Source organism: Homo sapiens, chromosome 12 (genome assembly GCF_000001405.40).
Source record: "Homo sapiens chromosome 12, GRCh38.p14 Primary Assembly".
In the NCBI taxonomy this organism is placed as follows: domain Eukaryota; kingdom Metazoa; phylum Chordata; class Mammalia; order Primates; family Hominidae; genus Homo; species Homo sapiens.
Genome location: NC_000012.12, coordinates 122,018,811 through 122,046,287, shown reverse-complemented (window position 1 = coordinate 122,046,287; position 27,477 = coordinate 122,018,811). Strand labels below are relative to the sequence as shown.

Genomic DNA, 27,477 nt, shown 5'->3' with positions numbered 1-27,477 from the left:
CTGGCCTGCCCTCCCCAGACCCGCTCAGCCACTGCTGTCCCTCCAGGTGCCCAGAGTTGCCCTCAGGTCCGCACTCACCCCTATGTACTGCCCAACACAGGCTCTCCCCTCACCTTCAAAATATACCTCCATGTTAGACCATCCGGAATGCTGCTCATTTTCTTAGATGCAGTAACGGTATTTGTAAATCTGTAAGAGAATGCCTTTTTTTTTTTTTTTTTTTTTTTAGCAAGGTCTCACCCTGTTACCCAGGCTGGAGTGGTGCAATCATGGCTCACTGCAGCCTCGACCTCTCAGGTTCAGTCGATCCTCCTGGGACTACAGGCGCATGCCACCATGCCGGGCTCATTTTTATATTTTTTGTAGAGACGGGGTTTCGTCTTCTTGCCTAGGGTGGTCTTGAACTCCTGGGCTCAAAAGATCCTCCTGCCTCAGCCTCCCAAAGTGCTGAGATTATAAGCATAAGCTACTGTGCCCAGCCCAGAATGTCTTTATTTTTAAAAGACACGTGCTGACATGTTTAGGGATGAAATGTCCTGAGATCTATAACTTACTTTCAAATGGTCCCAGAAAAAATACAAAGCAAAAGAAACCCAAAAGCCAACAATTGCCAAGTTCAGCAGGTGGATATATAGGACAGTATTATGCCATTCTTTTAATTTTTCTGTAGAGACTCAAAATAAACACACACAAATATTTGTGTACACATTCACACAATCACACACACACTCTCACACAATCACCCCATCATCTGTTCTTAATCCTTCAGATCATGTCACCCAAGCCCCCAGTGGCTCCCGTCTTACCATGAAAACCCAGGCCAGGCAGTGGCCTTACGAGCCCCCCACACCTGAGGCGCTGCCTGCTGTCTGACCCCGTATTATTATTAACTTTTTAAAATTTTTCTGAGACAGAGTCTTGCTCTATCGCCCAGACTGGAGTGCAATGGCACAATTTCGGCTCACTGCAACCTCCGCCTCCTGGGTTCAAGTGATTCTCTTGCCTCAGCCTCCTGACTAGCTGGAATTACAGGCACATGCCACCACACTCTGCTAATTTTTGTATTTTTAGTAGAGACAGGGTTTCACCGTGTTGGCCAGGCTGGTCTTGAACTCCTGACCTCAAGTGATCCGCCTGCCTCGGCCTCCCAAAGTGCTGGGATTACAGGCGTGAGCCACCGCGCCTGGTGCCCATCTTATTTTCCAGCTCCTCACTCACTCTTACCTCTGCCCACACTGCTCTCCTCCCAGATCCCCACATGGCTTGCTCAGTCGCCCAGTTTGAGCCTTGTCTTATTCAAAGGCCGCCCCGACCACCCCATTTAAAACTGCAACTCTCCAGGTCATTCAGCAAGACCCCCCACCCCTTTCCTACTTTATAATTCTCTGCCACACTTATCTTCCTAATACTAGGTTGTCTGATTTTTAAATACATTTAAAATTTATTAATATAATTATATTTTGAGCCAGGGTCTCACTCTGTCACCCAGGCTGGAGTTCAGTTGTGTGATCACGGCTCACTGCAGCCTCCAACTCCTGAGCTCAAGGGATACTCCCGCCTCAGCCTCTTGAGTAGCTGGGACCACAGGCACATGCCACCATGCCCAGCTCATCTTAAAGCATTTTTTTGTAGAGACAGGGTCTTGCTATGCTATCCAGGCTGGTCTCAAACTCTTGGCCTCAAGTGATCCTCCTGCTTCAGCCTTCCAAAGCATTAGGATTATAGGTGTGAGCCACCATGCCTGGCCAATTGTTTGATTTTTATTTATTTACTTATTATTGAGACAGGGTCTTATTGTCACCCAGGCTGGAGTGCGGAGGCATGATCATGGCTCACTGTAGTAGTCTTGACCTCCTGTGCTCAAGTGATCCTCCGACCTCGGCCTCCTGAGTAGCTGGATCACAGGTGTGTGCCACCACACTTGGCTATTTTTTTTTTTTTGGTAGAGATGAGGTCTTGCTATGTTGCCCAGGCTGGTCTTGAACTCCTAGGCTCAAGCAGTCCTCACACCTTGGCCTCCTAAAGTGCAGGGATTACAGGCATGAGCCACTGCACCTGGCCTGTCTGATTTTTTTAATTCCCCCACGAGACCATGTACTCCAGGTGTCACCTCTCTTTACTGTCTCCTTGCTGGGGCTGGCACATGACAGGGCCTCCTGGAACACCTAGCCACAGACTGCCTGAAGGCCGGTTACAGGGAGGCCGTCAGAGCCCCACCTCCAGAGGCCACATACCTTCAGCTCCTGGGTGCTCCTTCCCATCAGCCTGGGCCTCATCCACCTTGGCCTCGGTGCCGTCGCTGGGCACAGCCGAGTTGGGCTCTGGAGCGGGGCTGGAGTTGCTGCTGTTCTCCTGTTTGATGGGGGAGGCATCTGCGATGGAGCTCTGGTTGCTGTTATCGTCTGTAGGGGGTGGGAACAGAACCACAGGATGAAATCCCACAGCTGCCAAGGACGGGTAGGTCAGAGGGCTCAGCATCCCTGTGCCTCAATGCCCGGAACCCCATGGCAGCTCTCCCGGGGAGGGGTCTGGTTACCGTTTTTTTTTTTTTTGAGACGGATCTCGCTCTGTCAACCAGGCTGGAGGACCGTGGTGCAATCTTGGCTCACTGCCTCCACCTCCCGAGTAGCTGGGATTACAGGTACTTGCCACCACGCCTGGCTAATTTTGTATTTTTAGTAGAGATGGGGTTTCACCATGTTGGCCAGACCCGTCTCGAACTCCTGACCTCAGGTAATCCTCCTGCCTCGGCCTCCCAAAGTGGTGGGATTACAGGCGTTGAGCCACTGCACCCGGCCGTGTGGTAGGGGTCTGGATACTGGATACGCCTCCTCCTGGGACCCCTGAGCTCACTCCCGCCCCCTGACCCCCACCCACCCACCCACCCAAGCACCACAGCCATCCCATGTGTCCAGAGAGGCAAAGAATTCCGGCACTGGCCTGACCTTCCCCACACTGAGCCAACTGTACCCTGCGTCTGGAGGCAGCCAGCTGGGGATGGTGGCCTAACATATTTAAAATCCTGGGGGGACATTTGAGGCCTCATTCTGGGTGTAGAAACCAGACGTCTTGTGTGTCTGGCAGGGAAGCGATACAGAAGACACGGCATGGTCCGTGAGGCGGGATTGCCAAGGCGTTCTGTCTGACTGCATCCAGCCTGGAGCTGAGTTCCACTTGATAGGAAATAAAAGGGAGAGAGAGACAGCGGGAGGTGGCATATTCCACGGGACACGTGGTCCACTCCCTTAAAGTCAGTATCATATTTAAAAAAAAAAAAAAGTTGGGGGAGGGGAGATGACTTTAGAATAAAGAAAGCTAGGAGACTCGACTAAATATGATGTATGGAAATGATTTGGATCCTGTTTCAAACGTGCCAGCTGTAACACTTTGGAACAATTGGGGAATTTGAATATGGTCTGGGTTTTAAAAGCTATTAAGGAACTGTTGTTAATTTAGTTAGAAGTGATCATGGGACAGTGGGTATGTAGAAACGTCATATTTTCAGCAATGCATGCTATGACGTTTAGGTGCAGACTTGAATGTCATGAGGCAGGGAAATTTACCAGAAAATACTTCAGTGCAGGCTGCCGGCCACTGTCAGGACTCCCTGAACTTTTACACTTTTTTTTTTTTTTTTTGAGATGGAGTCTTGCTCTGTCGCCCAAATTGGAGTGCAATGGCGCGATCTGGGCTCGCTGCAACCTCCACCTCCTGGGTTCAAGCAATACTCCTGCCTCAGCCTCCCAAGTAGATTACAGGCGCCTGCCACCATACCTGGCTGAGTTTTGTATTTTTTAGTAGAGACGGGTTTCTCCATGTTGGCCAGCCTGGTCTCGAACTCTTGGCCTCAGGTGATCTGCCCACCTCAGCCTACCAAAGTGCTGGGATTACAGGTGTGAGCCATCACACCCGGCCACTAGCTGTGTATTTTTTATATGTGAATTATATTTTAATTACAAAAATCTAACACATTGAAAAAATAGATGAGACAAATGTGGCACCGTGTTCATGAAAATCAAGGTGGAGTGTACAGGGGGATCGTATTCCTCTCTCTACTGTTCTTGACAACAAAACCCTTCACAATACAAAGAAGAAAGAGAAGGGGTAATTGGGCAATGGCATTTACAGTTGGGCTGGGGGCAGAGCTGGGGCCCGGGCTGCACCTCCCCTTGTCCTGCACCCCCTTCTCAGGCACAGAGTCACTCTATTTATTTTTTTGAGATGGAGTCTGTCACCCAGGCTGGAGTGCGGTGGCGCGATCTCGGCTCACTATAATCTCCACCTCCTGGTTCAAGCGATTCTCATGCCTCAGCCTCCCAGGTAGCTGGGATTACAGGCATGCACCAACATGCCCAGTTAACTTTTGTTTTTATTATTTTTTAGTAGAGACGGGGTTTCGCCATGTTGGTCAGGCTTGCTCTTGAACTCCTGACCTCAGGTGATCTGCCCGCTTCAACCTCCCAAAGTGCTGGGATTACAGGAGTAAGCCACCACACCCAGCCATTTATGTATTTTTTATTTTTAGAGACAGGGTCTTGCTCTGTTGCCCAGGCTGGAGTACAGCAGCACAATCATAGCTCACTGCAGCCTCGAACTCCTAGGCTCAAGCCATCCTCCTGCCTCTGCCTCCTGAGTAGCTGGGGCCACAGGCATGTGCCACTGCATCTGGCTAATTTTTAAGTTTTTTGTAGAGATGGGGTCTCACTATGTTGCCCAGGCTGTCTTGGACCCCTGGGCTCAAGTGATCCTCCTGTCTTGGCCTCCCAAAGCACTGAGATCATAGGCCTGAGCCACTGTGCCCAACCTAGGAGAGTCGTTTTAAACAGCAGAGACCCAAGTGGAGGTTTCAAAACCAAAGCAGCCTTTCTGGGGGCCATGCTGCACCCGGGGCGATGGCCACTTTTGTAAACATGAGAAAGAGACAGAGACACCCCAACAGACCTGGGCACCTGCCACCATGCCAGGCACTGGGCAGAAGCATTTATGGACACCTCGTGGAATCCTCCCCACAACCCGTTGGAAAGGCACCGTTACCACCTTCACTTTCCGGAGGGGGAAACTGAGGCTGGGAGCAGCAGAGCCACTTGCCGGACCCATCTGCCCAACTCCCAGCCCCACGCCCCTCCTCTACCTCAACCTGCCGAGGAAGCACCAGGCAGTCAGGCGGCCCCACACGGGTAACCTGGATCTGATTTTAACTGTACTCTGGGGTGCTCGTTACACAAAAGCATCCTCTTGTGAATTCTGGGACTTAAAAAAAAAAAAGAAGGATGTGTGCTCCCCGATTTCTCCCTTGAGAAAAACTAGACTTCCTTCCTATGGCAAGCACACGCGCAAGAGGCTGGCCCCGTAGGTTCCTGAGGCTCTGTTAATGAATGACAATGAGCACTAATGTTTAACGTCTGGTCTAGCCTGGTAGCCTGGTAACAGCGTGACCCTGATACTTGGGCTAACTTCAGCTGAGTCTTGTGGACTAAAGGGCCCGGGGCACCGCCCTCTCCTTCATCCCCTGCTGTACCCATCCTCCCACTTGAAGCCTTCCAGAAAACTTGCCCGGCCCACACCTTTCCCTGACCTTCCCATTTACACACTCTGCAGTCTGACTGGCTTTCGGCTGCACGTGCACTAAAATGAAAATCAGAAAGTCAACAGGGCACCTGTGTCTGGGGACCTGGTTTGTTCAGCATCCTAGATTTTTCTGGAGAGTTTATCCAGGTCACAAATCTGGATCTTTTGGTTTTTTTTTTTTTTTTTTGGAGACACGGCCTCACTCTCTTGCCCAGGCTGGAGTGCAGTGGTGCAATCTTGGCTCACTGCAACCTCCCCTTCCCGATTCAAGGGATTTTCCTGCCTCAGCCTCCCGAGTAGCTGGGATTACAGGTGCCCACCACCATGCCCGGCTAATTTTTGTATTTTTAGTAGAGATGGGGTTTCACCATTGTTTGGCCAGGCTGCTCTCCAACTCCTGACCTTAAACGATCCTCACAACTTGGCCTCCCAAAGTCCTAGGATTATGGGTGTGAGCCACCACGGCCAGCCACAAACCTGGATTCTGTCTTCAAAGAACCAACCTCAAATGCCATCAATGGCACTGGAAGTTATGAACTTGCTAACCATGCATGTTACTTCACCTCACTGGGCCTTAGTTTCTCCATCTGTAAAATGCGGTTGGTTATTAGACTCAAATGAGGCAATGATGTAACGGGCTTAGCACAATACTTGGCACATTGTGACGGTTTCATAAATGTGAGCTGTTAACATGCCAAGGTTTTTAAAATTTTTATTATAGGCTGGGCACAGTGGATCATGCCTATACTCCCAGCACTTTGGGAGGTTGAGGGAGGAGGATTGCTTGAACTCAGGAGTTTGGAAACAGCCTGGGCAACATAGCAAGACCCTGTCTCTATTTTTGAATACAGTAAAATAATTTTTTTTTTTTATGGAGTCTTGCTCTGTCGCCCAGGCTGGAATGCAGTGGCATGATCTCAGCTCACTGCAACCTTTGCCTCCAGGTTCAAGTGATTCTCCTGCCTCAGCCTCCCAAGTAGCTGGGATTACAGGCGTGTGCCACCACACCCAATAATTTTTGTATTTTTAGTAGAGATGGGATTTTACCATAGAGACCAGGCTGGTCTCCAACTCCTGACTTCAAATGATCCTCCCATCTCGGCCTCCTAAAGTGCTGGGATGACAGGCATGAGCCACCACACCTGGCCCAAAATAAAATATTTACTATAATTATATTATATATTATATTATATAATATATATAATATATATATTATATATATATATATATTTAAGAGATGGGGTCTTGCTCTGTTGCCCAGAGTGGAATGCAGTGGTGCAATTACTGTTCACTGCAGCCTCCAACTCCCAGGTTCAAATGATCCTCAGCCTCCAGAGTAGCTGTGACTATAGGTGCGCATCACCACAACCTGCTAATTTAAATTTATTATTATTATTATTTTTTTTTTTAATCTATTTTTTTTTAGACTGAGTCTTGCTCTGTCGCCCAGGCTGTAGTGCAGTGGCGTGATCTTGGCTCACTGAAAGCTCCACCTCCCAGGTTCACGCCATTCTCTTGCCTCAGCCTCCCGAGTAGCTGGGACTACAGGCACCAGCCACCACGCCTGGCTAATTTTTTTGTATTTTTAGTAGAGATGGGGTTTCACCGTGTTAGCCAGGATGGTCTCGATCTCCCAACCTCATGATCTGCCCGCCTTGGCCTCCCAGAATGCTGGGACTATAGATACGAACCACCTATTGTTTTTTTTGTAGAGATGAGGTCTCCCTGTGTTGCCCAGGCTGGTCTCAAACTCCTGGGCTCAAGTGATCCTCCTAACTCGGCCTCCCAAAGTGCTGGGATTACAGGTGTGAGCCACTGTGCTTGGTCCCATGCCAAGGTTTTTAAGAGATTATTTAATTTAATCCTCACAGTGAGTTTATGAAGTAGGCATTACCATCCCCATTCTACAGATTAAAACTAAACAAACCCCAAAGCTAGAGGTTAAACAAATAGCCCAAGATCACACAGCCAGGGGAAGGTGCAGGGAGAGTTAGGATGTGAACCCAGGTGGGGTCCTGGCCTCAGCTCGAAAAGGCCCTCTGGTGTAATTCTGCGTCTGTAATCCAACCTCAGTCCTGAGTCGGGCGTGGGGTCTCCCCAGTCCCCAGAGGGAAAGGGGATGCTAAGGAATGCCACTGAGACAGGCCACATCCCAGCTCACATATCTATTTCTGAAAATGAAACATAACCCAACTATGATTGTATGGCTGGTTGGGGGGGCTTTCTTGACACATTAACCAGCAACAAAGCCCCACTGCTCTTTTTTTTTTTTTTTTTTTTTTTTTTTTGAGGCAGAGTCTCGCTCCTTTGCCCAGGCTGGAGTGCAGTGGCCTGATCTTAGCTCACTGCAGCCTCCGCCTCCCAGATTCAAGCGATTTTCTTGCCTCAGCCTCCTGAGTAGCTGGGATTACAGGCACACGCCATCATGCCCAGCTAATTTTTATATTTTTAGTAGAGATGGGGTTTTGCCATGTTGGCCAGGCTGGTCTTGAACTCCTGGCCTCAAGTGACCCGCCCACACCAGCCTCCCAAAGTGCTGGGATTACAGGCGTGAGCCACTGTGCCTGGCTCCCACTGTGCGTTTCTTTTTTCTTTTTTTGAGACGGAGTCTCACCCTGTTGCCTGGGCTGGAGTGCAGTGGTGCGATCTCGGCTCACTGCAGCTTCTGCCTCCTAGGTTCAAGCGATTCTCCTGCCTCAGCCTCCTGAGCAGCTGGGATTACAGGTGCCCGCCACTACACCCAGCTAATTTTTTGTATCTTTTTTCTTTTTTGAGATAGTTTCACTCTTGTTGCCCAGGCTGGAGTGCAATGGCGCAATCTCCGCTCACCGCAACCTCTGCCTCCTGAGTTCAAGCGATTCTCCTGCCTCAGCCTCCCGACTAGCTGGGATTACAGGCACGCGCCCCCACGCCTGGCTAATTTTGTAAATTTTTTAGTAGAGACAGGGCTTCTCCATGTTGGTCAGGCTAGTCTCGAACTCCCAACCTCAGGTGATCCGCCCACCTCAGCCTCCCAAAGTGCTGGGATTACAAGCGTGAGCCACCGCACCCATTGTTTGTATTTTTAGTAGAGACAGGGTTTCACCATGTTGGCCAGGCTGGTCTCGAACTCCTGACCTTGTGATTTGCCTGCCTCAGCCTCCCAAAGTGCTAGGATTACAGGCATGAGCCACCGCCACTGTGCTTTTCTAAAGCCCGTTCAGAAACCTGCCAGTCCCCCTGCCCTTGGAGCTGGTGACTGTGTTTTCCAGACAGGTCGATTTGAGCACGTGGGGAAGTTCGCTGGCCTTCCTTCCCCAGAACAAGACAGCCCTGGGTCTGGAGAGATCAGAAACTCCAGCAAACCAATATTCCCTTCCAGTTCCTTTTTTAGTTATTTGTCTACTACTACCTGGCTGTACCAAAGCTTCCAGTGGTCAAAAGTACAAAGACGTTGAAATTGGGGTCAAGAGATAGAAAAAGGCAGGGGTTGCAGGCTCTTGTCCTAGCAGGCCAGGCAGGTGACAAAGAGGCAGTGGGTGAGCCAGGTGGGCCTGGAGGCGCCACACTCTTGCTAAGGGAAGGCGGCTCTGGCTTCAGGCAGTTCCAGGCAGCCCTTGCCTCGAGGGAGCACACAGCCACGGGGCTGCCAGATCTGATTTCTCAAGGGATGGCAGGACGGAGATTTCCTGATTTCCAAACACGGAAAACCAACTTAATTTTTATGAAGCTTTAGGGACGGGTGCGGTGGCTCACACCTGTAAATCCTAGCACTTTGGGAGGCCAAGGCGGGCGTTCGAGACCAGGAGTTCGAGACCAGCCTGGGCAACATGGTGAAACCTCGTATCTACTAAAATACAAAAAAATTAGCCAGGCATGGTAGCACGTGCCTGTAATCCCAGCTACTCAGGAGGCTGAGGCAGAAGAATTGCTTGAACCCAGGAGGCGGAGGTTGCGGTGAGCTGAGATCGCACCACTGCACTCCAGCCTGGGTGACAGGAGCGAGACTCTGCCTTAAAAAAAAAAAAGGAGCTTTAGGTTTGAATCTCTGAGGGCATTTTCCTTGGGTGGATGGAGAAAACCGTGAGGACCTGCGGGGGACACTGGGGACTAGCTCGGAACGTTCTGTGTTTTGACCTGGGTGGTTACGTGGGTGTGTGCAGTTTGGGAACATTTCATGGAGTCATACACACATCATTTGCACGTTTCCTCTCAAATAAAAAGGTCAAAACAGAAACAGACACCGCCAACAGGAAACAATGGCAGACAGCACCATCTGGATTTGGTTGATGGACCTAGATTACAACTTTTTTGGGTTTTTTTGCCTTTTGAAGAGATGGGGTCTCACTGTATTGCCCAGGCTGGAGTGCAGCAGCTACTCTCAGGTGCAATCATAGCTCACTGCAGCCTTGAACTCCTGGGCTCAAGCGACCCTCCCACCTCAGCCTCCCAAGGAGCCAGGACTACAGGTGCGTGTTTCCTGTACCCGGCTAAGTTACAACATTTGAAATTAAACAGCAAAGGAAGTTAGGTGTAGACGTGGAAGGGCAGTTCCCAAGGTCCTGGTGGGATTAACATGAAATCAGAAATCCAGTTTGGAGGCCGGGCACGGTGGTTCATGCCTGTAATCCCAGCACTTTGGGAGGCCGTGGCGGGCAGATCACTTGAGGCGAGGAGTTTGAGACCAGCCTTGCCAACATGGTGGAACCCCGTCTTACTAAAAAATACAAAAATCGGTCAGGGATGGTGGTGCATGGCTGTAATCCCAGCTGCTTGGGAGGCTGAGGCAGGAGAATTGCTTGAACCCAGGAGGCATAGATTGCAGTGAGCCAAGACCACGCCACCGCACTCTGGCCTGGTCAACAGAGCAAAACTCCATCTCAAAAACAAAACAAAACAAAACAAACAAACAAAATCCAGTTTGGAGATTCCCAGCAGCCAAAGCAAAATGGGAAACACAGCCATTTATATAATTTATATGAGGGGGCGAAGAAACATACGCCCAAACAATCTTCCTGGACACACGAGGCTGAGAGAAACATCTCCTGCGGGGTTCTTGTCCCTGGGTGAGGAGAGGGTCTAATTTCTATGTCTCTGGCTTAGTTTATGTCTCTTGGCTTGGTACGCTGGGAAAAGAAACATCCTCTCCTCCGCTGACTCTTCTCCTTGGCACAGAGGCCGCCGGGCCCTGCCCAGCCCTCCTACCCCTTGCCTGGAATGTGAACAAACCTGCTGGAGAAACAAAAACATGACCGAGTGCTTGGCCAAGGCCCCGGGCTGGGCAGGAGAGGCTGGCAGGCCATGGGCACTCACCATGCATGTCCATCATCCCTGGGGAGGAACTGTTCTCCGGAGTGGTCACCTCTGAGCCACACTTCTCGTCCTTGCCTTTTTTCTTATTCTTGTTTTTCTGCAGGGGAAAATGGAGCAGAAACCAAGTCACCAGATCATGTGTGTGCGCACACGTGCTCAGAGCCCCTGGGGAGTGGTGTGAATATTTTATTCCATTGAAGCCTCCTGGAGCCCCCAGGCCTCTGGAGGTTTTCCTGGGCCCACATTTGAACACGTCCTATTAGGGACTGGCCTCTGGGTCTCGCCCACTGTGGAATCAGAGAGCCCCACAGTGGGGAGGGTTCTGAGGCTGGCCCAGCTCCGGCACCCTGGAAAATAAGCCTGCCTGTTTCTGGGGCTGTCAGCAGCAGTGTGGAAACACCCTGGCTGGCAGGACCTGCCTCCTCTTTTAGGGAGAGTATCTGGGGAAGAGGCTACCATCAGCCCAGGTACAAAGTAATGCCAGGTGACCCAGAGGTCACTCACTTCCACCAGCTGCAGGCCCCCTGGGGCAGCCTTTCTCAAAGTGTACTCCACTGACCTCCAGCACAAAAGCGCAAGAGGAGTTAGGAAGGAAGACCCCGGGAGAAAGGAGGGAGGACCCCGGGAGAAAGGAGGGAGGATGGGGATGCTTTTCGTGCCATTCCTTTTTTCTTTTTTTTTTTTTTGAGACAGAGTCTCGTTCTGTCACCCAGGCTAGAGTGCAGTGGCGTGATCATGGCTCACTGCAAGCTCCAACTCCAACTCCCAGATTCAAGCGATTCTTCTGCCTCAGCCTCCCAAATAGCTGGAGCTACAGGTGCCTGCCACCACACCCGGCTAATTTTTGTATTTTTAGTAGAGACGGGTTTCACCAATATATTGGCCAGGCTGGTCTCGAACTCCTGACCTCGTGATCTGCCTGCCTCAGCCTCCCAAAGTCCTGGGATTACAGGTGTGAGCCACTGTGCCCGGCCATTCAATTTTTTTTTTTTTTTTTTTTTTACGAAAGGAATCATGTTAGAAACAACCTTGGCTGAACTGTAGGAGACTCGTTAAATCAATCGTGGTACATTCATTCAATGAAATCGGATGCAACAATTACAGGGAATAAGGTGGTTCTTCACAGACTAACATGGGGTGATCTGCAGAATACTAACACTTAACATATGTCAATATCGCCAAGATATATATATATATATATATATATATATATATATATATATATATATATATATATGAAAGATGCAGGATACGTGAGCCTCACCACCAGTGGTAAGCAAAGGATGTGTGTGTGTGTGCATGCTCTGTATGTGCATGCGTGTATTTACATGCATGTTTGCGAGCGAAGTCTCCCTTTAGAAGGATAAACAAAACCTGGCAACACTGGTTGCCTCCAGGGGCGAGAACTGGGGTGGGGATGGGGGGTGCATGCAGGGATGAGAGGCAGATTTATAAAAGATATGCAGTAAAAGAGTAACATCGGAAGATACACAAATCCAAACAGACAAAAAGTGGACTGGTGGTTACCGGGGCAGGCGAGGGGAATGGGAAGTGACTGCTAATGGGTATGAGTTCCTTTTTTAGGGTGATGAAAATGTTCTGGAATTACAGTGGTGACAGGTGCACAACTTTGTGAATACACTAACTGAACTGAATAAAACAGTGACTTCTGGCCAGGCATGGTGGCTCACGCCTGTAATCCCAGCACTTTGGGAGGCTCAGGCAGGAGGATGGCTTGGGGCCAGGAGTTTGAGACCAGCCTGAGCAACACAGCCAGACCCTGTCTCTATTAAATAAATAAATAAGCCAGGTGTGTGGCTGGGCGTGGTGGCTCACGCCGGTAATCCCAGCACTTTGGGAGGCCGAGGCGGGCGGATCATGATGTCAAGAACTCAAGACCATCCTGGCTAACATGGTGAAACCCCGTCTCTATTAAAAATACAAAAATTAGCTGGACGTGGTGGCGCGCGCCTGTAGTCCTATCTACTTGGGAGGCTGAGGCAGAAGAATTGCTTGAACCCGGGAGGTGGAGGTTGCAGTGAGCCAAGATTGCACCACTGCACTCCAGTCTGGCAACAGAGTGAGACTCTGTCTCAAAAAAATAAATGAATAAATAAAAATAATAAATAAATTAGCCAGGTATGCATGCCTGCAGTCTCAGCTACTCAGGAGGCAGAGATAGAAGGATTGCTTGAGCCCAGGAGGTCGAGGCTGCAGTGAGCTATGATCCTGCCATTGCACTCCAGACTGGGCAACAGAGACCCTGTCTCTTAAAAAAAAAAAAAAAGTGACTTCTATGATATGTAAATTGTCTTAATCAAAAAATTGTTTTGAATTTGAATTTTGTAACATATTTTACCTATTTAAAAGGATGAAATTTTCAAGAGTTCTAAAGTAACAAATGGATATAACCATATAGATACTGAGTGTTTAAAACAATAAAAAGCTCTCCCTCCACAAGGCAGATTCCCAGCCTCAACCTGCAGAGACTCAGCGGCTGGTGATGGGCCCAGGAATCTGCATCTTCTGAAGGTGCTCAGCCAGGCCGAGAACCATCGCCCTAGAGGGAAAGGGGGTGGGGGAGTGGCACATGGCACATCATGGCTCACAGATGAAGAGGGAATTTGCATTTCTCGGCACCGTCTGCACAGCCGGCACAGTGCTAAGTATTCTCCGTGGTGATATATTGCTTTTGCTCTGTTGCAGAAACCGCGATTTGGATGTTACTGCTCCATTACACAAAAGAGGGAACTAAGGCCCAGCAATGTGGGGTCACCTGCCTAACATCACAGGTTAATCGGGGCTGGTCTGTCTGCCTCCAAATCAAACGGTCCCTTGAAGCCTAGAGCTGCCCGGTCCTTCCCGATGGCCCAGGGCTTACGTTTTCCCCTTGATCATATTCCATTTGGCACTTCCCTGATATCTGTTTCATGCTATTCTATAATTATCTTCCCCAAACGAGATTAGAAATTCCTTGAGAGCAGGGACCACATCTTCTCAAATGCAACCAGCATTTCTACACCTAATGGCGGGCAAGGCACAGACATGGGCCGGAGCCAGGAACTGCCTTCGAGGAGCTTGCCCTGCTCTTCCCTGGGAGATGCGGAGAGAGACCAAGGCTCAGTCCCTTTGGGGAAAGCAGCCCTGGTGATTCCGGGAGCCCAGGCTAGAACCAGAAGGGACAACAAAGGCCCAAGTTCAGGGGTGAGCATGTGATCACGGGGTGAAGAATGGAGCCACAGCCCTGCCCAGAGACCCAAGACTTGCCGGGCAGATAACTGAAGATGGGGGCGAGAAACTTAGCCCCTGTCTTTTTGGAGGAAGCTGGACCCCCACATGCTTCCCCCACCCCAAACCTACCAATCATGACTTTACGTCACTCCCAGGAGTGGCCGCAGCCATGTGGGTTAGTCTGCGCCATCTTCCCAGGTAGAAGGACTGAGTTTGAGTAAATACGGAAGGCAGTCCAGGCAGGGGGGAATGGCCCAGGCAAAGGCCTATGGGGCAGACTGTTCTTGATTTGGGATGGAAATGAGAGGGGTCTCTGGAGGTAACTGGCCTGGGAACCACGAAGTTGGGAGAGCACTGTCTGCTCGGGGCAGTTGCCAGCCATCACAGGACAGCGCCTCGCATTCCCTCTAGTGGTGGAAGTCGGGATGGCGCCACCCCTCCTGGAGCCCTCCTGGAGCCCCGCATCCCTACACCAGGCTTTCCTAGCACCGGGGACCCCTGTCACCAGCAGCTCCACTCACCAGAAGCCTCTCCAAGCGCAGAGAGAACCTGCGCTTTGGAGTCAGACAGACCTGAGCTCCATTCACAGCTCTGAGGTGAGCCATGTGAAGTGGCTTCACCTCTCTGAGCCTGTGCCCTCACTTGTACAGAGGAGAGGTTAAAAAGATCAACTCCACAGGCTGAGTAGGAAAAATAACGGAGATGCCACATGTGAGGCATCAGCCCAGGGCCTGGCAGATGGTCAGAGGCTCAGGAACAGAACCACAAAGGTGGGGAGAACGTGCCTAACTGTGGGCACCACCACACCTGCCCCAAAACACAGTGCCAAGCCCTGGGGGGGGCGCTCGGCCCAGAAGACACAACTTGCAGGCCGGGCGCACTGGTTCACGCCTTAACTCCAGCACTTTGGGAGGCCCAGGCAGGTGGATCACCCGAGGTCAGGAGTTCAAGACGAGCCTGGCCAACACGGTGAAACTGCGTCTCTACTAAAAATACGAAAAAATTGGCTGGGTGTGGTGGTGTGCACCTGTAATCCCAGCTACTCGGGAGGCTGAGGCTGGAGAATCGCTTGAACTCACGAGGCAGAGGATGCAGTGAGCCAAGATCACACCACTGCACTCCAGCCTGGGCGGCAGAGTGAGACTCTGTATCAAAAAGAAGAAGAAGAAGAAGAAGAAGACACAGCTTGCGGGATCCCCCCGTCCACCGCTCTGAGGGCCAGACTCTGGGGCTGGAGTGGGAGGGGTGGGGACTGGTACAGCAGCCTCCCCAGGTCTAATCTGGGTCCTTCTACTCCCAGGGGCTCTTGGTCCCAGAGCCCCAGCACGGTGGGTAGCAGTGGACAATCTCCCTCCCCATGGTGGGAGGAGCACGAATGGGTGGCCCACCCCAGGGGACCAGCCCTCCATACTCACGTCATCAACCTTGGGCTCCGTCACAGGGACCCATTTGTAGATTCGTAGGGATGTGTCACCAACGGTCACCCATTTCTTCTCCCTGAGGAGGATGAGGAAGAGCCTGTTACCGGGGACTCTTCATCCCTGGGGGACACAGGCCACACTCCCTTGGGGCTGAGAGCAAGCTCCAGATCACACAGATGAGGGTTGGAATCCCAGCTCCACCCTCACTAGCGGGAGGCCCTGGGCAGGCCACATCACCCATCTAAGCCTGGTTTCTCCACCCGTTACACCACATAGGGTGGTTGCCCTCTCCAGGCTGTCGCCAAAAAGGCTGAGGGTGGGGCTGCCATTACAAGGACTCCTATGGGTGGCACGAGTCGGGCCCAGGTTCCTCCTGTGTCACTGCCAATGCCACGCAGCCAGTGGACTGGGCCACCCGCGCCTGTCTGGGCAGCAGAGAGGGCTTCAGGCCAGCAGGCCGATTCCTCTCATGGGGGGTGGAGTCGTCACCAAGGACACCCCGGGGCTCCTCCTGCCCTCTGGGCGATGCGTCTGAGGTCAGGGGAGGCATGAGCAGGCAAGCCGGGGAGCCGCCCACACTCTGCCGGAAGAATGCCCTTCGTGGCGGCCAAGGAGAGCCAGGGAGTGGTGACCTCGGCCCGAAAGGAGGTTACACAGCCTGAATGTGTGGGTGCAGCCAGGTGGGAGGGGAACTGCACCCCTGATTCAGGGCTCCTAGTGACCCTGTCTGCAAGGTCACCCCAGCTGCATTACAAACGCCTGAAGGACGGAGTCCAGACCCCCCACTGTGAGAGGCAGGTTTATGGATGAGGAGAAACTTACAAGCCACAGAAGCAAACAGGACTGGTTTTCATTCGAGATAACAATGCCCACCCTCTCCTCCACCACCACCACTCTGCTCCGAGCCACTGTCATTTTTCCGATTATTGCTACAGCCAGCCACCTCCTGTCCTTGACCCCCTGCACTCCGACTTGTCCCTTACCGCCACGAAGACCCAGCAGCCACACCCCTGAGGGGACTGAGGCTCAGGAGAGCCTCCCAGAAGCAGGGCTGGGGTTGGAACCGAGGCTCCTAAATCAAGACTCTGCCAGATCAGGAGACCTGCGAGGCCACCAAGGAGCCACTGATGGCTCAGCTAGGAGGCTGGCGGATTTAAGGGGCCCAGCAGGCACTGTTGGGGCAGGCGCACCCCTGGTACAGGCGACGTAGCTGCCCGAGTCCTCAGCAATTTTGGTGACAAAAATTCCCAGAACTGAGAATTCTGTGTGGCACGAGCACCTCTGTCCGTGAGCTGCCTGGCACCTTTTTTTGGCCTCTCTGCCCAAACTCAGCCTTAGATCACCCCCTCGTGGGGCATGTGGCCCTCACATGCTGGTGTGACAGGTTACAGGACTCCCACCCTGTCACCACGGGGGTTGCGGGATGACGGAGCATACTCAAACCCAGCCAGCCGAAACCACAGACACCTCACCCCCAAAAACCCTGCCCGCTCGGGTCCCACGTGTTCCATCAGAGGACGCTACGGCCCGGCTTTTCTTATTATACCAGTGGCCATTCCTAGCGCCTTCTATGTACCAAGGACTGTGCCGGCTCATCCGGCAGGAAATGGCAACTTCCCCATTTGACAGATAAAGAAACCGAGGCACAGGGCGGTGAAGGTGAACTCATTCTCCCAGAGCCAGCACTCGAACCCTTCACCCAGCACAGCTGTTGAGACCAGCCTCTCTGCTCCCTCCTCCTTGCACCTTTTCACCCAGAAACGATGCAGGAAAGACGAGTGTCTAAGTCCACTGGCCCGTCTCCTGCCTCCTGTGGGCAGAGCAGACAAACCACAATGCCCACCTTTCCCCTCCTCAATTCTGAGCAATCAGAAGGTGTCCAGAAGAGACCGAGTGCTCCTGGGAAGAACCTCAGTTGTTAGAGCAACCATCACAATAGCCACTGTGTGCCCAGGCTATTACATGCCAGGCTCCACGCCAAGCACTCTACTTACACACCCTCTCTCCCTGGGATTCCCAACAGGCTACAAGAGGGGGACGATTGTCACCCTTTTTACAGATGCAGAAACAGGATGCCCAGAGAGGTTATACCACTAGCTTGGGGTCTCACAGACAGGAAGTGGCAGAAGAGAATTAGATTTGGGCTCGGACCCCAGACACCACCTCCTGCTATTCTGTTGGCCATGAAAACCAAGAATCATTCTAAAGGAGCGCCAGGGTAACAGAAGCTGGAGGAAGAATGACAAATTGCCAGGACTCCATGCAGATTGGCCAAAGCCATTCATTACTCATGAGCCCTGGACCAGCTTCCCAGTAAATCAACCCATTCAAGGTTTGATTGTGTTTGGGAAAAAAAAAAAAAAGTAATTGACTTGTAACACACAGGACACCTTTCAGGGCAGAAAGTGTGCCAGAGATCTGGGCTTTGCGGCCGCAAATCAGCCAAGATGCAAGTTTGCAGCTGCTTCCCAGCGAGGCTCGAGGCCACCGCAGGCTACAAGCTGAATGCAGCCAGGCTTTCGTGCCTCTCTTTGCCCCAACTGGCAACCTCTTCACCGAGTTCTCAAGTTACCCCAGTGATGAGAAACTGTATTTCTAGGTGTGGACATTGAGGGGACTCTGGGACAGAGGCAAGAACATTAAGAATTCTACCTCTGAGCTGGACCTATGCTCAGCTAAGCAGCCACCCGGAGGGGCCATGGAGCTCAAGTTTAAGGCACCAAGTGAGCACCCAGGAGGACATGGGATTTCACAGCCACAGACACACTGGGTGGGCACACGGGTTCAGCGGAGCAGCTGAGGTTTCCCACAATTGCCCCCCAAAACCATCACCACAGAACACATACCCCTCCCCAAAAAAGGGCGTTGCTCCTCTTCCCCAATGAGGGTATTAAGCTATACTCATCACTTTCTTATTTTTTTATTTTTTTTATTTTTTTGAGACGGACTCCTGCTCTGTGGCCCAGGCTGGAGTGCAGTGGCACAATCTCGGCTCACTGCAACCTCCGCCTCCCGGGTTCAAGCGATTCTCCTGCCTCAGCCTCCTGAGTAGCTGGGACTACAAGCACATGCCACCACGCCCGGCTAATTTTTGTATTTTTAGTAGAGACGGGTTTCACCATGTTGGCCAGGCTGACATCAAACTCTTGACCTCAGGTGACCCACCCGCCTTGGCCTCCCAAAGTGCTGGAATTACAGGTATAAGCCACTGTGCCCAGCCTATTTGTTATTTTTTTGAGATAAGGTCTCCCTCTGTTGCCCAGGCTGGAGTGCGGTGGTGCGATCACTGCTCACTGCAGCCTCGACCTCCTGGGCTCAAGTGATCTTCCTGCCTTGGCCTCCCAAAATGCTGGGATTACAGGTGTGAGCCACCACACATGGGCCCCACTTTATATTTAGGATGGCAAACAACCAGTCAACAGGCGTGTTTTGTTTGGCCTGCACAGTACTTTAAAAATGTTAAATCTGCTGCCAAACTTCAAACAAACAAACAAACAAACAACAAAACAGGCTTTGCATAAGAATCCAGACTTCTGGCTACTCTTGAAAACATGACCTGGGCCCACATGCCCCAGGGAGCGACAGCTTGCCCCAGATGGGCTCTCTGGCCCCCCTCAGATGCCCTCACTCTTGACACCTGTAAGCACCAGGTGCAGAAATCCCCACAACCACCAGGCTGCAGCCCAACTTGCTGCAAAGCTGGCCCTGGGTGTGCCCCGCGCCTCCTGTCTTGGCGGCCCCGTCACCTTACCCTGACTTCAACACCTTTCCCTTCCCATTACACTTGAGCTTCTGGGAGGAAAGGAAAAAATGAGGTCCCAGCAGTAGGAATATAGCCCCAACTGCTCCTCCCCAGCACGGACTCCTATATAAACTACAAGAATCCATCCCAGATTCTCCAGGCTAAGGCCAATTTCGAATGTTCTCCTGTGTCCAGGTCCAAGGGTTAGCCAACAAGACCATCTTAGGGTTACCCACCACTCAAGGGGACCCTGCTGACTCCCTCCAGGAAAGCTCTACTCCCTGTCCTTGTACTCACTCCTCATGGCTAGTCCCTGTCACCTCAAGAGGCCTGGCCCATGGCTGGCCTCACCCTAGCTAGGCCCAGGTCTGCCTGACCTGCCATGTGCCCAGTAGGAATGTCTCCATGATGAAACCTCTGGAGGAGCTGAGGTGAGGGAGGCCTCAGGCCCAAACCTCTACCTCTCCTGGGACAGACGGGAGCTCTTCAGGCACAGACCTTTCTCAGTCCTCACAGCAAGTCATTGAGGGAACCCTCAGACCAGGTGCTAAGGGGTCCTGGGCCTAAGCCTACTTTTTTTGTTTGTTTTTTGAGACAAGGTCTCACCCTGTCACCCAGGCTAGAGTACAGTGGCACAATCGTAGCTCACTGCAGCCTCAACCTCCTGGGCTCAAGTGATCCTCCAGGCTTAGCCTCCTGAGTAGCTGGGATTACAGACGAGGGTCACCATGCCTGTCTAATTTTTTTCTTTTTTTTTTTTTTTTTTTGAGACGGAGTCTCGCTCTGTCGCCCAGGCTGGAGTACAGTGGTGCAATCTTGGCTCACTGCAAGCTCTGCCTCGTGGGTTCATGCCATTCTCCTGCCTCATCCTCCCAAGTAGGTGGGACTATAGGCGCCTGCCACCACTCCCGGCTAATTTTTTGTATTTTTAGTAGAGATGGGGTTTCACTGTTAGCCAGGATGGTCTCGATCTCCTGACCTCGTGATCCTCCCTCCTCGGCCTCCTAAAGTGCTGGGATTACAGGTGTGAGCCAACGTGCCCGGCCTTTTCTCTTTTCTTTCTTCTTTTTTTTTTTTTTTTTTTTTTGAGATGGAGTCTTGCTCTGTTGCTCAGGCTGGAGTGCAGTGGCGCGATCTCGGCTTACTGCAACCTGCGCCTCCCAGGTTCAAGCAATTTTCCTGCCTCAGCCTTAAGAGTAGCTGGGATTACAGGCGTGTACCACCACATCCAGCTAATTTTTTGTATTTTTAGTAGAGACAGGGTTTCACCATGTTGGCCAGGCTGGTTTCCAACTCCTGACTTCAGGTGACCTGCCTGCCTCGGCCTCCCAAAGTGCTGGGATTACAGGCATGAGCCACTGCGTCCAGACTAATTTTTCTTTTTTCTTCTTCTTCTTTTTTTTTTTTGAGATGGAGTCTCGCTCTGTTGCCCAGGCTGGAGTGCGGTGGCGCAATCTCCGCTCACTGCAAGCTCCACCTCCTGGGTTCCCGCCATTCTCCTGCCTCAGCCTCCCAAGTAGCTGGGACTACAGGCGCCCGCCACCACGCCTGGCTAATTTTTTTGTATTTTTTTAGTAGAGACGGGGTTTCACCATGTTTGCCAGGATGGTCTTGATCTCCTGACCTCGTGATCCGCCTGCCCGGCCTCCCAGAGTGCTGAAATTACAGGCGTGAGCCACCGCGCCCGGCTCTTTTTTTTCTTTTTCTTTTTTTTTGGTTTGAGACCCAGGCTGGTCTCAAACTCCTGGGCTCAAGCAATCCTCCTGTCTCAGCCTCCCAAAGCTCTGGGATTACAGGCGTGAGCCACCGCAGCGGGCCTCCAAGCTTACGCTGCAGCCCAAGCTTTCGTCTCCTACCATCGCCCTGGGGTCTTCTCTCCTCCACCAGCACAGGGCCCCCAAACCCTGGCCCAGTTTCCCAAAAAGAGGCCCACCATTTTGTTTTCCCTTTAGCCATCTTCTGGTCACCTCACCTCCACTGGCCTGCCTTGCTGAAACACCAGAAAAAGAGAACAGGAGGCAGCCTGCCCCAAATGAGAGGGAGGCCACAGCTTTTTCCGGGGGTGGGGGAAGCATCAGGGGACAGTGGGTGGGTCGGGGGGGTAATTTTAGGGGTCACTAGGGCTGAGGAGAAACCCACCCAAGGCTCATGGGGCCAAATGATCTGCCAAACACTTCGGCTTCCCTCTGGGTAAAATACAGGGTGCCCTGTTAAATTTGCATTTCAGATAAATTAGATAATGTTTTAGTATAAGTGTGTCCCAAATATTGCATGAGACATACTCAAAAACATTTATTTTTAAAAAAATCTTTCATTGTTTATCTGAAATTCAAATTTAACTGGGTGTGCTGTATTTTTATCTGGTTAAACCTGGCAACCCCACCCCCCCACCAGTGGTGAAATGCATGGTTGGTGACCACACAATTAATAAACAACCCACAGTCTCATGGGCTGAGTCTAAGACCCAATCCGAAGGCGCGGGGAAGGTGAGATATGGCTTCTCAGGGGCCAGAGAAACCTGGGCAATAAGTCCAAGGCTTTCGCTTAGAAGGGGCCAAAAAAAAAAAAAAACAAAAAACCTCAAAGCCAAGTTTCTACAAAGTCCACCTTACAACACAGACAACACTGAGCAACAGCTCCTCCTGCGCCCAGGGCGCGGTGCTCTCGGAGGCATGACCTCAATCGTCCTCAATAACCCGAGGGGACCTGGAAGCCAAGCACAAAACCCCGGGTCACCATGGTTAGAGAAGTGACAATGATATGCCCAAGGTCGCGGCAACGAAGTGAACTGGAAGCTGGACCATGAGATCCCAAAGCCTGAGGTCTTCAGAGGACACGATGTGTTGTTTCCCCAAACCCAGGGAGGCGCAGAGGTACAGCCCCTCAAGCTCCAACTACAGGCCTGGTCCCCGCGGGGTCAGCGGGCTGGAAGGCCTCCAGGCCGGCCGCCCCGGGGCCCGCGGGGTGGGAAGCCCCATCTCTCCATCTGCCCTCCCTGCAGAGCAGCTGGCCGCTCTGCGGGAGCAGCTGTCAGGGTGCAGGAGCCTCTGTCCAGCCGGGAACCTGGAGTAGGAGGCCCCACCACGCCTCCTCGAGCAGAGAAAGGCGGCTTGCCGGCTGTTTCCCAACCTCCAGGCCGGCGACAGAAGGGACCCAGGCACAGACACCAGTTCTTTCTTTGCACAGGGGCTGAGGCAAGGAGGGGAGCAACTCCGGGCTTCCCGCGGGGAATCCCACAGTAGAGGGGGCTGCGGGTTGTTTTCCAGCGTGTGTGTGTTGGCCTGCAGCTGTTTCTGCCATTTTTAAATGGCTCCAGTCGGGCACCGGGCACCCTGTGTACCAGGGGAGCTCCCGAGACACCGACGACTTGGATCTCAACTTTGGAAAGCCTCCCCTTCTCACGGTTCTGAAAATTCTTTGTCCCACTGGAGCCAAACCCAGCCCACGGCCGGGCATCCGGCCATCGCAGCCAGCCCTTTCCATAGGAGGCCGGGGAGCACGTGGACTTTATTGATTTTCCTCTTGCCTTTTTTGTTGGGTTTGACTCAGAAAGGACAGCTAACTTGTGACACCGCCACACCGGAGGCTCGCCCCCAGTGGCTTTTAGAGACCGAGGCGCTACTCGAGAAACGACACCCCCAAACGTAAACATCCCCTGCCACAGGGCCTGCCCAGCTTCCAGGCTCGAAATAAAGGGTCGAGACGAGCCCGCGGGCGCTGACACTCAGAGCCAGCGTTGCGGCGGCTCCTCTCCCTCCGGGACCCCAGTGAAGGCGTGGGAAAAAAATAATAAAGTTGAAATCAGGCAGCGGGGAGTTTTCAACAACTCTGACCCAACCTGGCGATCTGCTTGCGCCTCGGGCCTGGCCCAGGGGCCGATTCCGAGCAGACCCCGACGAGGCCGCGGAAAGGTTCGATCCCCTTAATGTCGACCGGGCCACGCCGGGCGGACGCTAATGTGATCCCGAAAACCACGCGCGGCCGCCACCAAGTCCCCCTCTCCCCGGTGCAGAGAACAAAAACAACAGCTCCCTCCGCAAAACAAACACGAGCTCCCGGTGTGGAGAGGCAGCCGCGGCCCAGGACGAACGGCTTCTGGCCAAAAACATCGGCTGGCCCGAGCCCCCCGCCCGGGGCGCCGCGCAGAGCGGGGTGGGACGTGGGCGCCCCGCGCCCCTGGCCGCTGGCTCCCAGCGCTCGCCCCCATCTTTCCTGGTCGCCGAGAGCCCTCGCTCCAGGCAGCCCAAAGCGCTAAATTTAAACGGCTCGCGCTCTGCAAACTCCGCAGACTCGAGGGCGCCGGGCCCGGGAGGCGGGAGCGGGCGGCCGGGCGGGCCGGGGCTGGCGGAGGGCGGCGGGGCGCGGGCCGGGGTGCGCGGGGAGGAGACGGCGGCGGCGGCCCGCTCGGAGCCTGCACAATGGAGCTCGCGCTCTCCCCGCCGCCGCCGGCATCGCGGCCCCGGCGCGCGGGAAGCCGCTTTCATGTGACTTGCACAAAACGAAATGGCTTCTGGGGCCGGCCCCGAGCCCCCCTCCCGGGAGCCGAGCGCCGCGGCGGGGGCCGCCCCGCCGCTCCAACCGCCTGGCCCCGGCGCCCGCCGCCTCCGGGCCGCCGCGCCAGGTGGGCTACAGGCGCGAGCGCACCTGGGCAGCGGCCGCGGCCCCAGCCTGGCGCAGGTGACCCGGCTCGCGCGCCGCCCGCCCGTCCGCCCGCCCTCGCCAAGTCCCGGGGCCCGCGGCGGGGCTGGGCCGGGGCAGGCGGCCGGGGCGCTGCGCCCCGCGGCTCTCTGGAGCCGCGCTCGGGCTCGGGGCGGCCGGGGAGGCGGCTGGCGGCGGGCGCCTCCGCTTACCATTTGCGCACTTTCTCGATCGCCGCCATGACCCTCTTGATATCATCTTTGGCCCGGCTCCTCGTCTCGGCTCGAACCGACCTGCCCGACATGGTTCCGGCGGGGAGACGGAGGCTGGGGAGCGCGCCCGCCGGGTCCTGCTCGCGCTCCGCGGCGGCCACACTCGCGCCCGCCCGCCGCTCACTCACTCGCGCACAGACACTCGCACTCTCACACGCACACACTCACACACACACACACACACACACACACATACACACACACACAAAGCCCGGGGCCGCCGCGCGCCTGGCCCAGTGCGCAAGCGCCGGGCGGCAGCTGCACAGAGCAGGGGGAGCCGCGCCGCCGCCGCCGCCGGCAGTGCGGCCTCCGGGCGCCGCGGCCACCGGGCAGCGCCCCCGGGCCTCCTGCGCCCCCAGAGGGGACGCCCCGGACGCCCTCCTGGGGAGGTGGCGAAGGGCGCACGGCGACCCCCGGCTCTGGGCGCGCGGTGGGGGCGGGCGTGCGGACACGCGCGCTGACCCTTCCTCGGAGGCTGCAGGTGCCGAGGGGTCCATGGGAGACAGCCGGTCTGCGGGGCGCGGGGGGGTCGCGTTCCCCGGGAGCCAGCCCAGCTGCCCCTGCCCAGCCCCCAGAGCGCGGCGGCGGGTGCAGTCGTGCAAGTTTCTTGCGGGTCTCTTGACTTCTCCGAGTTGAAGGCACCGGTTCGGGACGCGAGGTGCTCTTGGAAAGAGTTGGGCATCGCGCATCTCTGCTGGCCCGCGGCCCTGTTCAAATGCGAGCTAGGACGTCGCCTGCCCCAGGCTTTGTCCTTTTGGAAAACTAGGGTTGTAGGAAGGTGCCTGGTGCCAGGCAGACCACCAGAGACTCTCGACCTTGAGTACTAAAGAGTTTTCTGCTCAGCAAAAGCTCAATGATGATCAGCATCGTAACAGGGACTCTTCCTCCCGCCCCCAGAAGTTCTCTTGTCATAAACAAGGCGAGGGGGTCTTCGCTGAGCTTCACCAGAGGACCACGATTTCACCTTAAGCCATTCCTGACTTCAGTACCAGACTGAGACCAGGCGCTGCTACTGCCCAAATGACCCCTGGTCCCATCTACAAGGAGCACTTTTGAGGCCTCAGAACAGAGCCCCGGGGAGAAATCTGCGATGATCAGGGTAACCTGGGTGCCGCATCTTGCTGTTCAGCTGCAGCGGAACCGGCCGGACCAGAGCTAATGCGCGCCCAGAATGAAGAGGGAGACCGAGAGTGGCCCAAATGTCAGCGCCCCGGGCCTGGAGATGACAGCCCGACAGCAGCCATTTCACAGCTGGGGAAACTGAGTCCTGGGAAAGTTTAAGGTTGCAGCCTTAAGTTGTTACTCATTCTAGACGTTTCCCCTGAGGGTTTGGTCTTTGGGGAACACGCTACTGTGGAAATGGAGAGACCGCAGGCCTTTTCCTAGGCATTTGTTTTTACTATTCTGAAACGCAGTCTCCTGACGTGAAAAATGAAGAAAAGAACAAATACTGGCCGGGCGCGGTGGCTCATGCCTGTAATACCAGCACTTTGGGAGGCCGAGGCGGGTGGATCACTTGAGGTTAAGAGTTCGATACCAGCCTGGCCAACATGGTGGGTGAAACCCCGTCTCTACTAAAAATACAAAAATTAGCCGGGCGCGGTGGTGGGCTCCTGTAATCGCAGCTACTCGGGAGTCTGAGGCAGGAGACTCGCTTGAACCTGGGAGACGGAGGTTGCAGTGAGCAGAGATCCAGCCACTGCACTCCAGCCTGGGAGACAGAGTGAGACCCTGTCTCAGAAAAAAAAAAAAGGCCGGGCGCGGTGGTTCATGCCTGTAATCCCAGCACTTTGGAGGCCGAAGTGGGCAGATCACGAGGTCAGGAGTTCGAGACCAGCCTGGCCAACATGGAGAAACCCTGTCTCTACTAAAAATACAAAAATTAGCTGGGCGTGGTGGTGCAGGCCTGTAATCTGAGCTACGCGGGAGGCTGAGGCAGGAAAATGCTTGAACCTGGGAGGCAGAGGTGCAATGATCATGCCATTGCACTCCAGCCTGGGCAACAGAGCAAAACTGAATCTCAAAAAAACAAAACAAAACAAAATAAAACAAAACAAAACAAAAAAAGAAAGAGAGAAAGAAAAAGAAAAAAAAGAGAAAGAGAAAGAAGGACTTCAGAGAATCGTTCCGAGAATTTTCTGGGAAAATATGCAACAGCAGGTCATAAAACAGATCTCACAGAGATATGTGAGATCAATAGGTATGTGCTTTGGGCCACATGAAACTTTAAAAAAATGTATCTTAAAATTTAAAATAGGAAAATATTATGTCAGAATTCAAATAGTGACTGAGGAACAGATAAATGTGTCTATCCACACAATGGAATATTATTCAGCCATAAAAGGGAATGAATACATGCTACAACATGGGTGAACCTTGAAACACGCTAAGTGAAAGAAGCCAGTCACAAAAGGATAAATATGCGTAAGTCCATTTGCGGGAGATATCTACAACTAGGCGAATCCATAAAGACAGATATCAGATTGGTGGTTGCCAGAGGCAAGGGGGAGGGAGAGCAGGAGTGACTGCTAACGGATGTGGGGTTTCCTTTCGGAGTGATAGGAAAGTTCTGGAATGAGATAGTGGTGATGGTTGCAGAACAATGTGAATGTACTTAATGACGCTGAATTGTACACTTTTAAATGGTTACAATGGTCAATTTTATGTGTATTTGATCATAATAAAAAGAAATCTAGGCTGGGCGCGGTGGCTCACATCTGTGATTCCAGCACTTTGGGAGGCCGAGGTGGGTGGACTGCTAGAGGCCAGGAGTTTGAGACCAGCCTGGGCAACATGGTGAAACCCCATCTCTACAAAAAATTCAAAAAATAGCCAGGTGTGGTTGTGCGCATCTGCAGCCCCAGCTGCTCAGGAGGCTGAGGTGGGGAAGATGGCTTGAGCCCAGAACGTAGAGGCTGCAGTGAGCCAAGATCATGCCACTGCATGAAGCAAAGAAAGAGAGAGAGAGAGAGAGAGAGAGAAAAGAAAGAACGAAAGAAAGAAAGAAGAAAAGAGAGAGGGATGAGGAGAAGGAGAGAGGGAGGGAAGGAAGAAGGAAGAAAAAGAGGGAAGGAGGGAGGGAGGAAGGAAGGAAGGAAAAAAAAAAATACCCAGCTTCTCTAGAACCAGCAGATCTGCAAACTGGACCCTCAGTGCCACATGGCACCCATCGGCTAGAGCAGAGAGCTCTGTCTGTATCTTTCAGACAGAGTTATCTGGGTCACCAGTGCACTCATAGCCACTTTACTCATTTGTGTTACCTGTCTGGCCCCTGAAAGTATTTGTGATTTTGATCCCCAATAAAACCATAAAG

The 27,477-nt window shown here is 53.2% G+C and overlaps 1 protein-coding gene across 2 annotated transcripts in view, besides 7 other annotated features; it reads right to left on the bottom strand.

Moving 5' to 3' along the window:
- The window catches only part of BCL7A (BAF chromatin remodeling complex subunit BCL7A), a 40,161-nt gene extending 15,757 nt beyond the window's left edge, over positions 1 to 24,404 (bottom strand). For both annotated transcript variants that reach the window (NM_020993.5, NM_001024808.3), the window contains exons 1-4: positions 24,105 to 24,404; positions 15,507 to 15,588; positions 10,861 to 10,957; positions 2,235 to 2,402 (exon numbers count right to left, since the gene is read on the bottom strand). In NM_020993.5, coding sequence (NP_066273.1) covers positions 2,235 to 2,402; positions 10,861 to 10,957; positions 15,507 to 15,588; positions 24,105 to 24,196 — 439 coding nt within the window. In that variant the 5' untranslated portion in view covers positions 24,197 to 24,404. The remainder of the gene's footprint in view (positions 1 to 2,234; positions 2,403 to 10,860; positions 10,958 to 15,506; positions 15,589 to 24,104) is intronic.
- Positions 16,472 to 16,571: an enhancer, noted in NCBI's record as "active region_7197". NCBI's record gives its function as "activates an Ori minimal core promoter by ATAC-STARR-seq in GM12878 lymphoblastoid cells {active_cell/tissue: GM12878}" and the evidence as "EXISTENCE:reporter gene assay evidence [ECO:0000049][PMID:35858748]".
- Positions 16,652 to 16,771: an enhancer, noted in NCBI's record as "active region_7196". NCBI's record gives its function as "activates an Ori minimal core promoter by ATAC-STARR-seq in GM12878 lymphoblastoid cells {active_cell/tissue: GM12878}" and the evidence as "EXISTENCE:reporter gene assay evidence [ECO:0000049][PMID:35858748]".
- Positions 22,116 to 22,205: a silencer, noted in NCBI's record as "silent region_5006". NCBI's record gives its function as "represses an Ori minimal core promoter by ATAC-STARR-seq in GM12878 lymphoblastoid cells {active_cell/tissue: GM12878}" and the evidence as "EXISTENCE:reporter gene assay evidence [ECO:0000049][PMID:35858748]".
- Positions 23,036 to 23,851: an enhancer, noted in NCBI's record as "H3K27ac hESC enhancer chr12:122460343-122461158 (GRCh37/hg19 assembly coordinates)". NCBI's record gives its function as "activates a minimal SCP1, AML or CMV promoter by ChIP-STARR-seq in naive H9 embryonic stem cells {active_cell/tissue: H9 hESC(naive)}" and the evidence as "EXISTENCE:reporter gene assay evidence [ECO:0000049][PMID:30033119]".
- Positions 23,686 to 23,845: a silencer, noted in NCBI's record as "silent region_5005". NCBI's record gives its function as "represses an Ori minimal core promoter by ATAC-STARR-seq in GM12878 lymphoblastoid cells {active_cell/tissue: GM12878}" and the evidence as "EXISTENCE:reporter gene assay evidence [ECO:0000049][PMID:35858748]".
- Positions 23,996 to 24,315: a silencer, noted in NCBI's record as "silent region_5004". NCBI's record gives its function as "represses an Ori minimal core promoter by ATAC-STARR-seq in GM12878 lymphoblastoid cells {active_cell/tissue: GM12878}" and the evidence as "EXISTENCE:reporter gene assay evidence [ECO:0000049][PMID:35858748]".
- Positions 24,446 to 24,525: a silencer, noted in NCBI's record as "silent region_5003". NCBI's record gives its function as "represses an Ori minimal core promoter by ATAC-STARR-seq in GM12878 lymphoblastoid cells {active_cell/tissue: GM12878}" and the evidence as "EXISTENCE:reporter gene assay evidence [ECO:0000049][PMID:35858748]".